This window comes from Homo sapiens, chromosome 21 (genome assembly GCF_000001405.40).
Source record: "Homo sapiens chromosome 21, GRCh38.p14 Primary Assembly".
Lineage (NCBI taxonomy): Eukaryota > Metazoa > Chordata > Mammalia > Primates > Hominidae > Homo > Homo sapiens.
The window spans coordinates 15,613,290-15,627,636 of NC_000021.9; the positions used below are offsets into that span (position 1 = coordinate 15,613,290).

General features: G+C 37.1%; 1 long non-coding RNA gene and 1 pseudogene across 2 annotated transcripts in view; one reads left to right on the plus strand and one right to left on the minus strand.

Annotated features, from left to right (window-relative positions):
• LOC105369302 (uncharacterized) overlaps positions 1-13,971 on the minus strand; it is a 104,389-nt gene extending 90,418 nt beyond the window's left edge. For both annotated transcript variants that reach the window (XR_001754972.2, XR_937594.3), the window contains exon 1: positions 13,757-13,971. This is a non-coding gene — a long non-coding RNA (uncharacterized LOC105369302). The remainder of the gene's footprint in view (positions 1-13,756) is intronic.
• On the plus strand, positions 994-1,100 carry RNU6-1326P (RNA, U6 small nuclear 1326, pseudogene; annotated as a pseudogene).
• Positions 13,972-14,347: the final 376 nt, after the last annotated feature.

Sequence of the window (14,347 nt, forward strand, 5' to 3'; positions counted from 1 at the left end):
TACAAAACTAAATATACTCTTGCCATATGATCTAGCAGCTGTGTCCCTTGGTATTTATCCAAAAGAGTTCATGATGGTTAATTTTAGGTGTCACTTGACTGGATTAAAGGATGTCCAAATAGCTGGTATGGCATTATTTCTGGGTTTGTCGATGAGGGTGTCTCTGGAAGAAATTGACATTCAAATCAGTGGACTGAGGAAGGAAGATTCGCCCTAATTGAATGTGGGCAGACACCATCCAATCAGCTAAGGGCCTAGATAGAACAAAAACAAAGGAAAGGTGACTTCTCTCTCTTTCCTGAAACTGAGGTACATTTCTTCTCCTGCCCTTGGATATCAAAACTCCAGGTTCTCCAGCCTTTGCCATCTGAGATTTGCACCAGTGGCCCACCAGTTTCTAAAGCCTTCAGCTTCAGACTGAGGGTTATATTGTAGGCTCTAGTCCTTTACATTTGGACTGGCTTTCCTGGCTCCCCAGCTTCTAGATGGCCTATTGTGGAGCTCAGGCTCCATAATCCCATGAGCCAATTGCCCTAATAAATTCCCTCTCATCTGTCTATCTATCTATCTATCATCTATCTATCTATCTATCTATCTATCTATCTATCTATCTATCTATCATCTATCTATCTATCATCTATCTATCATCTCCTATTGGTTCTATCTCTTAGGAGAACTCTGACTAATGAAGAATTGAAAACTTAGGTCCACACAAAAACCTCTACACAATGTCTATAGCAGTTTTATTCATAATTGCCAAAACTTGGAAGCAACCCAGATGTCCTTTAGCAGGTGAATGGACAAACTATAGTATATGCATACAATGGAATATTGTTCAGTGCTAAAAAGAAATAAGTTGTGACACCATAAAAAGACACTGAAGAAACTTAAATGCATATCACTAAGTGAAAAAGCCAGTCTGAAAGGATTACATACAGTATGGTTTCAATTCTGGAAAAGGCAAAATTATGGATATAGTAAAAAGACAATGATATGCTCCCTTCAGAAGCATGTACACTAAAATGGGAGTGACACAGAGAAAATTAGCAGGGCCTTTGCACAAGGATGACATGCAAATTCATAAAGCATTCCACCTTTTATAAAAAGAGCAAACCCTCATGTAAACTATAAACTTTGGCAGGTGAGCTGCTGCTGCTGCATCAAGGTAAGCTCATCAGTTTTAACAAATGTACCACTCTCATGGGGGATGTTGATAATGGGGAAGGCTGTGCATGTGTTTGGGCAGGAAGTATTTGGAAAATCTTGGTCCCTTCAGCTCAATTTTGCTTTGAAACTAAAACTGTTCTAGCAAAAAGTCCAGTAGAAATAATAATTTTTTAAAAAAACTACCCTCTACTGTGAAACACAGTCCCAGACCTGGGGGGCATGGATAAAGATTTCTTTAAGCAAATTCTGCGTGCATTACACTAACATTATAGTAAAACTCAATTACTTGAACTCCTTTGCCTATGTGCTTATTTCTACATTTCTTCTTTTATTGGTGTTTCTAAACTTACATTCAACAGCTGGAATGTGAAGAGGACAAAAAGAAAGAGGGGAAAAAATATGAGTTAAATTGTTGGTAGCATAAGATGCTTGGCAAAGTAGGGAAGAGTCCTCCTCGCTTCTTAATGAGTTTTTACATAAAAGGCCCAGGAACTGAGCCAAACCTACAGTGTTCCTGAATAACATAAGCAACTTGGAAAAGATTTCACTAAGTGAAGCAGGAGTGCTCTAAAGCCCTGGGCTATAGGCAGAAGCCTATGGGGGTTTATACTGCTGAACTGTCTCAACAGTTTCTTTCTTAAACTTGACTTCCACTGGAGACAGTGTCTTAGGCATGGTAGTGAAATACAGTGGTGACTGGAGCAAGCCAGGTGGTACTATCTATGTTCAAGACAAACTTGTTTGCTCCTTAGAGGTCTTCTGGGGAACTGCAGGTAGGGGGATGAGAGGGGAAAGCTGCAAAAATGATGCTTGCTATTATTTTGCCACCTGACAATGGTTTACCCAAAGGTGGAATAGACATAGTCTCTACCTCAATTCTGTGTCATCATTTTTGCCTGAAGGTTTCAAAATAGCTTCCAGTCTTTCCCATGTCTGGTCTGTCTTTTATTTTGCTGTCAGATCTTTCCAAGTTATGAATGAGATTAGTGCCTGGTGATAATAGACCCTCAAATATCTGCTGAGTAAATGAAGTTTCTTCCTATGATTAAAACCCTCCTATGGCTTCTACTTTCTTATACTGTAGAGTTTCAATTCCTTAACATGGTGTCTGAGACTTCAAGTCTTCATGCATCCTCTTCTTTTCTAGGTTCTTATCACATGCTCCTCTTTGTGATTCCCTAACTTTGAGCTGTTCTGGTATGTTTCAAAGCATTTACATGTGCTAGTTCCTCTGGGTCTCATGCCTTCATTCCTACTCTGTCTTGAAAGTTTCTGTTCCTTCTCAGTCCTGCTCCTCAATGAAATCTTCCTCGGTGGTATCCAGACAGATTGAGCTGGTCCCATTATAGGAGTTTCAATGAAACTAGTAAAATGTATTCTGCTTTCAAGTACATTATAAATGGTTGTTTACATGTTTGTCTCTCTTGTTAAATGATGTCTTTTTAGGGAAGAGCTCTCAGCTTGACTGTCTATGTCAAAGTATGGATCATGTGGAACAAATAAAAGCAATGGGGGTAGGCAAACCTAGATGAGACTTCGGGCTTCCCCTGCCCAGTGTGCGACCTTAGTAAAAGTAATTAATTTCTCAGAAATTCAGTTTTCTCCTTTAAAAAAATGTTACTTCGGATGGGTCAGCAATTGACAAATAAAATTTTTATTTCTGAATAAAATAAAGTGTTAAAGAAGTAAATGACAAAAAAAAATGTGGGGTGTATGTGTAATTGCCAGATTTCCAAATAATTATTTTAATACTTAATGATTTTTGGACTCTGTTATCAAAGCTCTTTTTGTCCCGTTACAAACACAGCATTGACAAAGTATGTTCGAGTCATAGGCTTTTGAATTACCTGTGATTCTTTGTGAAAATAAAAGACTAAGACTCATGTGACTTCCTATTCAAAGAAGTCACAATTATATAGTAGCATCAAATAAGTGAATACACTGAGATAGTAACATAGGTATGAAATTAACCAATCAAAGCCAAAATATAGAGCTATATTTAGTTCAGAAGTTAGAATTTCAGATCTACAGGTTTGTGCCTGGTCTACAAGGAAACAAATAATTTAAAAATCATCTAGTTCCCAGGTATTCTTATTTATTCCAAGCCATCCTGCTATATTTGTGTTTGCTTCTTTAATTCTTAAGTGTAAAAGTGAGGATAATTGGAGGGAAACTAAGATGAGTGATGTATTATTACCAAAGATTTAAAATTTAGAATTGCACAAAAACCCGTGGACTTCCAAAACCATTCCCAAAGAAGAACGTGTTGCCAGGCTCATGAAAAAGGATTTTTCAGTTTGAGTTCAGTATCTAATATCTCTTTGTTGTAAAGAAATTGTAAATTAATTGTATTCTGAATGTTAAGTTTTAAAGGCATAACTAAATCTAATGTAAAATTTAGGCTCATAAAATTCTTTACTTTTAAAGAGTAGAATTTTCTTTTACTTTTATGAACACAGAGAAAAAAGAATAAAACAAAAGTTGCCATTTTAAAAAACACCTCCACAATTTGGAATTTGGTTGTTCTCAAAGGATAAAACTTCTGCCAAATGGATGACAAGCTGTTATCAGGCATAATAGGAGGCTTCTGTGGGAGTAGGCGATGGATTAATGCACAGAAGTTGCATCACATTTTGAGCTCAGATACTCTTTGAAACAGAAAGAGTCTAAATTTCAAAGCTTGTACTAATCTTTCTTAATAACTCTAGCACTTATTCATAGATGTCCAATATAAATGTGTATTAACCCTAGAAATAAAAACATCAACTTTCTAAAGAAATATTATTTTCAATGTCTTCTTACCTCATCACGTTCTTGGAAATCTAAATGACTCAATATGTCAAAGAATGCTAGTGAAAAATAAAACCATCCTTTTTTTTTTCTTTTTTTGAGACAGGGTCTCACTATGTCACCCTGGCTGGAGTGCAATGATGCCATCATACCTCACTGTAACCTCAAACTCCTGGGCTCAAGCAATTCTGTTGCCTCAGCCCTCTGAGTAGCTAGGACTACAGGCATGCACCACCACATTTGGCTAATTTTTTTAATCTTTTTGTAGAAGCAGGGTCCTGCTAGGTTGTCCAGACCAGTCTTGAACTCCTGGCCTCAAGCAATCTTCCTGCCTCGGTTTCCCAAAGTGCTGGGATAACACAGGCATGAGCCACCATGTTCAGCCAAATCCACACTTATAGGTTAATAAAATATGAATTCACAATTAAGATAGAAGGAAAACTAGTAATCAAGATTTATTGAGTATACTGTGCCCAAAGAGTATAGGTTCTTTAGCATACTTTTATTATTGACTACTTACAGCATCTACTAAGTATGTTTTATTATTCTCATTTTTAAATTAGATACTGAAATGTCAAGAGATTCTGATTTATTGAGGATCATATAGCTGGTTTGTTATGCAGACAAAACTCAAAACCAGGGTTTTTGTGGATTTTTTTAAGGCCCTGCTTATCCAAAAGTTGTGCCATTTTTAATTTTTTCCTAGTGTTACAAAATTTTTCCCACATATAAACAACATAGGAGCAGTTAAATTGAACAGACAGTTCTCACAATATAGGAGACATAAATCACTTCCTGGGATGAGATATTATAAACTTATCTAAGCATCAACATTTTTTGGAAAGACGCCAACATCATTGTACAAGGGAGTTCCCTGAAATGAGCCAAACAAAACCCTTGAAAACAGAATCCTATGAACCATTCATTTGATATCCTCTGGGGAAGTAAATAAAGAATCCTCATCCCACATGGTCATGCACCCTGCCGGCCATCCCATCTTTGGGAAGGGTCAGACTGCATTCCTGGGATGTTTGAGGTCATTATGAGACGTTGGTTTTTGTTCCCATCCACACCCATTATGAAGGAAAATAGTGTTCAAATTCAGTTCAAACAGTGTTCAAAAACTAACCCTTTACAACACAGAGCTCCATCTATTCTTGAGCTTGAAAATAGTCTTCCAGGTAATTTCATAGCAATAGCTTGATTCCTAAAGAGTGCAGGAAACTCATCTTACTTTATTTTTAATATTGAGGAATTATCATTTGCTGCCCTCAATAGCTAGGTAAAATAGCTAAGAAATTAGGAGTGAGGCATTTTCCTTCTAATCTGAGAGAGAAGATATGCCGTGGATACAAAAGATGATCACTGCAAGGAGCACATACTTATGTAACTCAGGTTGACTCATAATATGTCATTTTGCTTTGTTGGGATTAGTGTATAGAAAGTTAAGCGACACTATTCCATGTACTTTGTTAATCGGGGATAGTAAGTGAAATATCACATTCTACCTGTTTATCTCCTTAAACATATTCCTATTTCATATTCAAAGGGACATGGTAAGAGAACTAAACCATGGTCAACATTTGCAGTAGGAAGAATAGGTACTTTTAGCTTTAGACTCTCAAAACATATAACATTTAAATGAATCTTGTTAAGATTTCATTTAACTGATGCTCACCATCAGGTAATATAGAAGTCAGCAGAAGAAAAGCTTCCAGAAATGCCTGGAAGAGACATTAACCTCTAATTCAACAGTAGTTTTTGCTCCAATAAAACAATAATCTTCATTTTTCTCTTTTTGTTTTTTGTTTGTTTGTTTGAGACAGAGTCTTACTCTGTCACCCAGGCTGGAGTGCAGTGGCGTGATCTCAGCTCACTGCAACCTCTGCCTCTAGGGTTCAAGCGATTGATTCTCCTTCCTCAGCCTCCTGAGTAGCTGGAAATACAGGAGTGTGCCACCACGCCTGGCTAATTTTTGTGTTTTTAGTAGAGACAGGGTTTCACCATGTTGGCCAGGCTAGTCTTGAACTCCTGACCTCAGGTGATCCACCTGCCTCAGCCTTTCAAAGTGCTGGGATTACAGGCTTGAGCCACCGCACCCAGCCTCATCTTCATCTTAGGGTCCAAGAGTTCAAACAAGTCTGCAATGCATCCAACTGACGAAGGTGAACTTTCCAGAGAAGAGGCATTTCTTTCTTCCTTTCTTTTTTTTCTTTTTTGAGATGGAGCCTTGCTCTGTCCCCAGGCTGGAGTGCAGTGGCATGATCTCGGCTCACTGCAACCTCAACCTCCTGGGTTCAAGCGATTCTCCTGCCTCAGCCTCCCAAGTAGCTGGGACCACAGGTGCACGCCACCACGCCCGGCTAATTTTTGTATTTTTAGTAGAGACGGGGTTTCACCATGTTGGCCAGGATAGTCTCCATCTCTTGACCTTGTGATCCACCCACCTCGGCCTCCTAAGTCGCTGAGATTACAGGCTTTCACAACATGCTTCCCGACACGCATGATCTGCTCAGGGAAGGTCAGAGAATCCTTTCCATACTTGCCCTTTCTCGAATTCCTTAAATTTAAAAAACTCAAGATGACAAACTGTCGTATTTTAGGGTGTATTGTGTTCTAAATCCCATCACCTATTTGATCACCTTTTAAGGGAACACTTCACCAGCAAGAATTCTCTGAATTAAAAGATGTCAGAAAATTCTCTTCATATCACAGTGAATTTAGGAAAACAGGTATTCTTCGTCCCTTGTCTCAATTTTATTCATATTAATAGAGATCTTTCAAATAAAAACTATGAATAAACATTTAATATGCCATTTTTCTAAGCCTCTAAGACTTCAGTTTGACCCATTTAGGGTCAGTGTGAATCCAGGTGACCATATGGAGGCACCGTCAGGCCACAGCCCGCTGTCCGTCCATCAGAAGTGTACTGGGAGGGAGGTTGTCTTTCAGAGATCTAGCATGTCTGGTTACTGAGAGCAGAAATTAGTCATCTTCTGAATCAAAGTAACTTAAGTTGGATATAGGAAGTAATTTTCACATTAATATACAATAGTTTATCTACAGGAGGCTATTCTTCATAGAAATTTCAGCTCCCTGATCATACAGCACTCATTATAGACTCTGCGGGATGATTGTCATTAAAGCAGATATGTCCTTGACTTTGTCATAGGGTCTTGAAGCTCATTTCTGTCTTTTGCTACAGGTCCTGGAGCCTCTGGGCTTTGTACAAGACAGAGAGCTTTATATAAATTAAACAAGTCCAAAGATGTCTCGTGCATATTCTAGATGGTTATATAGTAAACTTCACCTTAACAAGGGCTCTATCCCAGTGCTTCAGAAAAAGAATTTGATCACACAATGGAAATTCAGACGGTCCCATATCTGGTGAGTAATCCTAGCTCATTACCTAGCACTCCGTCTCTACTTTATCCCTCTTTAGTTTTTACTTCTTGTGGTAATTTCCAGGAGGAGTAAAAAATTGTTGATGTTTGTGAAATACGGCCCTCAATAGAAAGTTCAAACTTGAATACAATGTAGAATAAATGATGACTACATAAGAGTCAAAAATCATCTTAACTGCTAAGACTCTACTTGACAGTCATTCACAGTATAAAATAGATAAAATCTTTGTCTTAGTCCATTCAGGCTGCTGGCTATAACAAAATGCCATAGACAAAGTAGCTTATAAACAATAGGAATTCATTTTTCATGGTTCTGGAGTCCAGGAAGTCCAAGGTTGAAGCTCTGGCAGGTTTGGTGTCTAGTGAGGGTCCCCTTTCTTGTTTATAGATGGCGTCTTCTCACTGTGTCTCACATGGTGGCAAGGGTTAAGAGAACTCCCTGGGTCCTATTGCGTAAGGTCATTAATCCCATTCACAAGGGCTCCACACCCATGACCTAATCACCTCCCAAAAGACCCCACCCCCTAATACCATCACCTGGGGGTCAGGACTTCAACATATGAATTTTGGAGAGACAGATACTCAGACCATAGCAATCTTCTTATCTCATTTGCATGCCTGTCTGAGACCAAAATGAAGTGTTTTCAAAGAGTATCTTCTCTGTTGTTTATATTCTACTTCTTCCAGGTGACCTTTCCCTTATTCTAACACCTTGTTTCTATGTTCCTGATCTGATGTTCTCAAAATTACTACCTTGCTTTTGGCTACCTATACCAATTTAGACCATAAAGCATTTGTTGCTACTAAGGTTTTTCTTGTGCATCTTATCTGCCAGTCTCCCAACATGGTCTACTGCCTGCCTTCCTTGCCACAGTTGTCTGTGGCCTTCCAAGATGACATTGAATTGATTCGATGAGTTCTTGAGAATATAGACTAGGATTTTTGAGGCCTCCATTTCCATTTTCTTCTCACCAATAGCGTGCCACTGGACAGGTTACCTAAAAACCCTTCAACTCACTTAGTTCAGTCATGGAATAGAGAAAAGTATCTTCATAGATGGTTAGGAGGGGCACGTGTAAAAAGGCTTTGTCTGCTCACAAATGAGAAGTTTTGATTTAAGACAACAGCAGAAGTCTATTACTCTAAGAGTAATAGTGAAAATGACACCCTTCCTATTTACTCTGGGAAAAAGTTATGGGCAGTAGGGGGTGGTACCAATTGTTTACTAAAATCTGAGAGAAAGCATTCTTCAGGAAAAGGGGACTTGATTGTCTTTTCAAATTAAACAGAGAATTCATCCATCAATGTTTCGTACCTTCCCAGCTAGCAAATTTCTTTCTTGGTATAAATGTATTAGGAAAGATAATTGCCAATTTACAAAAAGAAATGATAGTTCTTAAAGAGATATTGCATATGCTTGGGCATAACTTAATGAACCATTCTTCTGAATCAGTTACATTCACACAGTACTAATCAAACCCCAGCCAAATTACTTTGATTTTACTTTCTCCAAAATCTATTTTGGGTAGAAAGTTAATTTATATCTATCTCATGAACCTCAAATTTAGTCTTCTTGTATATTTTAATTAGATAAATACTTTATTCATATCCCCTCTCTTCTTCCCACAACCTCCCTTTTTATTCCTCCCATTTTCATTAATATGGCTTTCCTTCCAAAAGGGTTTGATGTTTCCATATGTTCATTAGCATCTTGTCCAGAAGAAAGAACAAGACATGGAGGAAGAGTCTTTATTTGTGAGCTTGCTGTTCTCTCTTGAATACGCAAAGCTCTTTCTACTGATATATTTGGGAAGAAAAATATTCTAGGTATAAAGGAGAATCTGAGCACAGTTATGTTCTTTGGTTGGTAGATCTCATTTGCAAGAGGTTTTTACTGGACTCAGATTAGAGCCTTCAGATGGAATAATTCAAGGGTAGAATTTCAAAGCAGATACTACCCCCAATTTTATGCAACTAAAGGTGTCATTTTGGAGATTCCTATTTTTTGTGGACCAGAAACCCAGTTTATTGATTCAATCAATGATAGGTGCTGTGGAAGTTTTCAGATGTTTTCAGATGTCCTTCAGAGAGGTTTATGGATTTAAAACAATATCAGATAAACTAAGTTCTGGATGATATTTAAAAAAATGCCAGGAGTCCTGTGATAACCTATTCTTCTCAGTATGTTTCTTATGTCAATTGCTTTTTATTTCAGACAAAACCCAAGTTTTTCTATTTGTTTTTTATATGCCAATATGTAAGATAATATGATGATAATAATAGCTCCCACTTTTTGAATGCCTACTGTGTGTCAGATGCTAAGTGCTTGCCTCTTTTTACTTTTATATCAACTTGACAAGTTTTATAGATGGGAAATCTAAAGATCAAAGAGGTTAAATAACTTGTCTAAGATCTCAGAAGTCATAAAAAATGGAAATGAAATTTGAACCCATGCCCGAATCCAAATTCCTTGTTTCTTCCTCTATACCAGACTATTTCCATATTATGTTTCTTACTGTGTGATGAAAGCCAATGTATAAAATACCAACGTCAACAGTTTTCCAAATATGTCACTTATTTTAGCAAACAGTTATTTGTCAGAGTCAGCTAGTGTATTAGTCTGTTCTCAAGCTGCTAATAAAAACATACCTGAGACTGGGTAATTTATAAAGAAAAGATGTTTAATTGAGCCACAGTTTCACATGGCTAGGGAGGCCTCAGGAAACTTACAATCATGGCAGAGGGAGAAGCAAACACATCCTTCTTCACATGGTGGCAGGAGAGAGAATGAGAGCCAAGTGAAGGGGGAAGCCCCTTATAAAACCATCACTCACTATCAGGAGAACAGTATGAGGGAAACCGCCCCGATGATTCAATTATCTCCACCTGGTCTCTGCCTCGACACATGGGGATTATGACAATTCAAGATGAAATTCTAGGTGGGGACATAGCCAAGCCATATCAGCTAACTTCACTGACCTTTTGTATATATATATATGGTCAAATGGAAGGTGTTTCACCCACTCACCTGTTATCCCATTCCCCGCTCCCACCTTCCACTGATGGGTGAAGCAAATCCTGATGTTGGTTAAAAAGGCCAAAAACTTAGGCAAAGCTTTCTATAATTAACTCTCATTTATTCATTCTGTGACATGTCTTTGAGCCACAAGACAATTCTCCCCTTTCTGAAGGAGTAAACCTTTTCAGTTTACTATTAATTTAATATTTTTTAAAATATTTGCATGCCACATGCTTGATATCTATCCAAGCATAAATCATTAGATATTTTGTAAAAGATATTGGCATCTTCTTCTTTCCATTCCATTAGTGGCATTGATAAATAATGTTTGCTATTGATAGAGTCAAAGGAAATATTTCAGGAAGGAGCAACACTTGTAAACACAATCGTCTATCTGGAATGCTCATGATAACCACAGGAATTGTAATATTGCATGTTTCCAAACTAAAATATCCAGAGAGCTTTTCTACCTTTCTCGCTTCATTTCCCACCTCGTCATAAATTTTCAACTAATATTGGGGAAATTAGTCACAAATCCCAAATTAGTATTTGTAATTATCATCAAAATAGTAAGATAATAGGGAAATCGCATCAGTTTCCAGACAGCCAGAAGATTTTTTAACCACTAATTTACTGAATATTTAACATGCCAAGCTTAGTGACAGAATTGGAGCTGCAAATATATATGATTAAAGAAGAACTAAATAAATTAACATATTTTGAAAGATTTGGGAAGTGATAAATAATCGGTGATACATAATTGAACAGTATGCAGACATTAAAACTGATGGTTTCAAAGACATGAAATAATGAAAGGAAGCAGAAGGCACTCATATGTATAGTAGGATTACTGAATCATCAAATAAAAAGAGAAAAACAGCTAGATCCTAGAAAAACTTGCAATGAGTAAAGCCAAAATTATACTAATTTTTAATAAGTAATAGAATTATAGGTGATTTTATTTCTCTTCCTTACATGTAGCAGCTTTCTAAAAACATTGCAAATAGAGGATGGTTGAACTTCTGGAGGAATGGACAGAATGCTAGACAAGAGGATGAGATAAATGCCCTAACCTTGCCTAAGGAATTTAGCAAGACATCACAACACAGTTGAGCTAAAATGTAAGGATAGGTTTGTCAGGCAAGTTGTGGCAAGGAGGGCATTCCAGACACGGAAAAATGAAAGCACCTGGTAATTTCCATGGCAATGGCAGCGTGTCCTGTACTTGGCCTAAGCATATCAAGACTGAAATATCTGAAGCATTATTAGCTCATAATCACAGTAAGTTTCTTCACAAGGGGGCCTTAAATAAGCAAATAGGAATTGATGTGAGAGCAAAAAGAACTGCTTGAGATGGTACAACAATATGTGAAATTGATTTCAAGTAATTTTGACAATACCATTATGCTTCAATGCTATAATTGCCTATTGCCCACCTAATGGGACATTCTTAGGTTATTTGTCCTTCATCCTATGCAACTTGCAGTGATTGTAATGAAAGATGGCCATAAGGTAAGGATGAAGAGAGATGTCAGGCTCGTGATACTCTGCCCTTCAGTCAATAATGCTAGCAGAGGCTCTTTAATGAGAAGGGGAGTGACAGACTCAGGTTTATTTCTATAAGAAAATAATTTAGCTGGGCGTGGTGGCCCACCCCTGTAATTCCAACACTGTGGGAGGCTGAGGTGGGTAGATCACTTTAGTCCAGGAGTTCAACACCAGCCTGAGCAATATGGCAAGACCCTGTTTCTACAAAAAATACAAATGATTAGCTGGACATAGTGGTGTGCGTCCTGAGTAGCCCTAGCTACTCAGGAAGTTGTGGTGGGAAGATCACCTGAGCCCAGGAGGTCGAGGCTTCAGTGAGCCAGGATTGCACCACTGCATTCCAGCCTGGGCAACAGAGTGAAAGTCTGACACATACATGCACATGCATGCACACACACACACACACACACACGCACACACACACACACATGCACAGAAGAAGAAAAGAAGGAAAGAAGGAAGAAAAGAAGGAAGGAAGAAAGGAAGGAAGGGATTCTTGTAGATTCAGGAGGATCATCTGGAAGGGGAGACAAGCTAGGGGCAGGAAGGACAGAGGGAGGGCTGTTAGAATGGTTTGGGGCAATAAGAGAAAAAGAAGAGGCAATAATTGTTAGAAGTTGCCAAGATAAAGTCTCCTTTGTTAAATTACTCACTAACTCTACGACCTTGGGTAAGCTTCTTTGCCTCCATTTCTTTACCTGTAAATTGAGTCATCGACCTTCTTCAAAATACCATTGTGGGAATTAACACAGGAGAAAGCATTTTATAAGGTTTTAAACCCTACAAAATCCAAAGGCTTTATCAGCTCTACTTCATTAATGTTATTAGCAGTAATAATATTAGTATTCCTATTGCAACATCCTCACAAGGCACACATTTTGAAAACATAACCAAAGACAGACAAGAAAATCAAGTAAGAATTTCTGCTTATAGTAAGAACATTTCTAAGAATATGGTGTAGCAGTTATATGGATGTATTTCATAATGCAAGATTTCAGTACTTCTCTAAAATAAGATATGAAGATTACAGCTTTCATTTGAAAATAAGAAGTAAAAATGAATCATTGGCTTCTATCACCTACTCTTATGGTATTGGGAAATCACCAAATAAAATGTTTATTTTCAAAAATGTATATTTTATCTGGCTAACAGTAGTGTTACTACAGCTTGAATGGGTGGAATATTTCTCAAGGATATTTTTTTAGTTGGGGTTTCTTCTTCATGATCCTTTGAATAAAGGAGAGGAATCTTTTGTTGTTTTCATGAGTTTTTTTTTGCAAAATTCTCATTTCTTTTAAATCCAATTTAAAGAAAAAATACTTAGACTAAAATTCCTTATGTTTAATATTAAATACAAATAAAACTAAGAATAAATATTTTAAATTTGTAACATAACTACAACCATGAAACCAAGTAAAATTCCAAGAATTATCAAGCAAAAACAATTTAAATATTCAAATTAATAATTCAATGTGATCAATGATACTGAGTTTGATGACAGAATGATATAGCCTTCGATCTGGTTTTACGTTTGATCTGTTTATGTATATTTTCACGAATCCTACTAATGTAAGAATTGCCTCTTACATTTATATACTATATAAAGCAGAATTGTTAAGACAGTTAGCTCAGAATAATCACAATTTACCCAACAAGCAGTCTTCAAGTGCCAATCTAAGACGTGAAAAACGAAAAAGACTATTTGTTTGCTTAACGTTTCAGTTAGCATCGTGGCTTTGTTGAAATCAACATTAAATAATTTTTATTTTATTGATTGCTAAAATTGAAAGTAGCAAATTTCTTTATTGCATATTTAGTGCTCACTTACCTTGGCTGAATTATTGTAGGTCAGTATTAGAAACATCTCCATAAAGCAGCATTTGCCACATGAATGTGGTACAGATGTACTGATTGACTCAAGACTTATCTATTTCAACTACTCAGAAACCTTGATTGTGCAGTCACTTGGCATCCACTTTGCACAAACATTATCATCACCATAGACTCGGGCGTTGATGTGACTGAGAGATCCATTATAAGACTGGCATCTACACGATGCAGAATTCAAAGAAAGCTATTTTGGACACTCAAGATGCTATCTACAGACCTCAATCTGAGATCTTGTCATCATCTGAAGCAAATTCTAATTTGTGTTTATTGATGAGAAAAGCATTCCAAATTACAGTTCCCTTTAAAGGAACTATAAGATCTATAAGACATTATAAGATTTTTGTAAGATCTTTATAAGATCTTATAGAAATTTTTAACTATAAGATCAAAATTACAGCTAAGACAACAGAAAAACAATATGATTGAGATTTATTGCCTTAGAAAAAGGAACACAGTTAATTAACCCAGACTTAACCTGAGTAAGAGCTCTGGTGAACAGACAATACGCAATTTAGAGAATATAGACAAA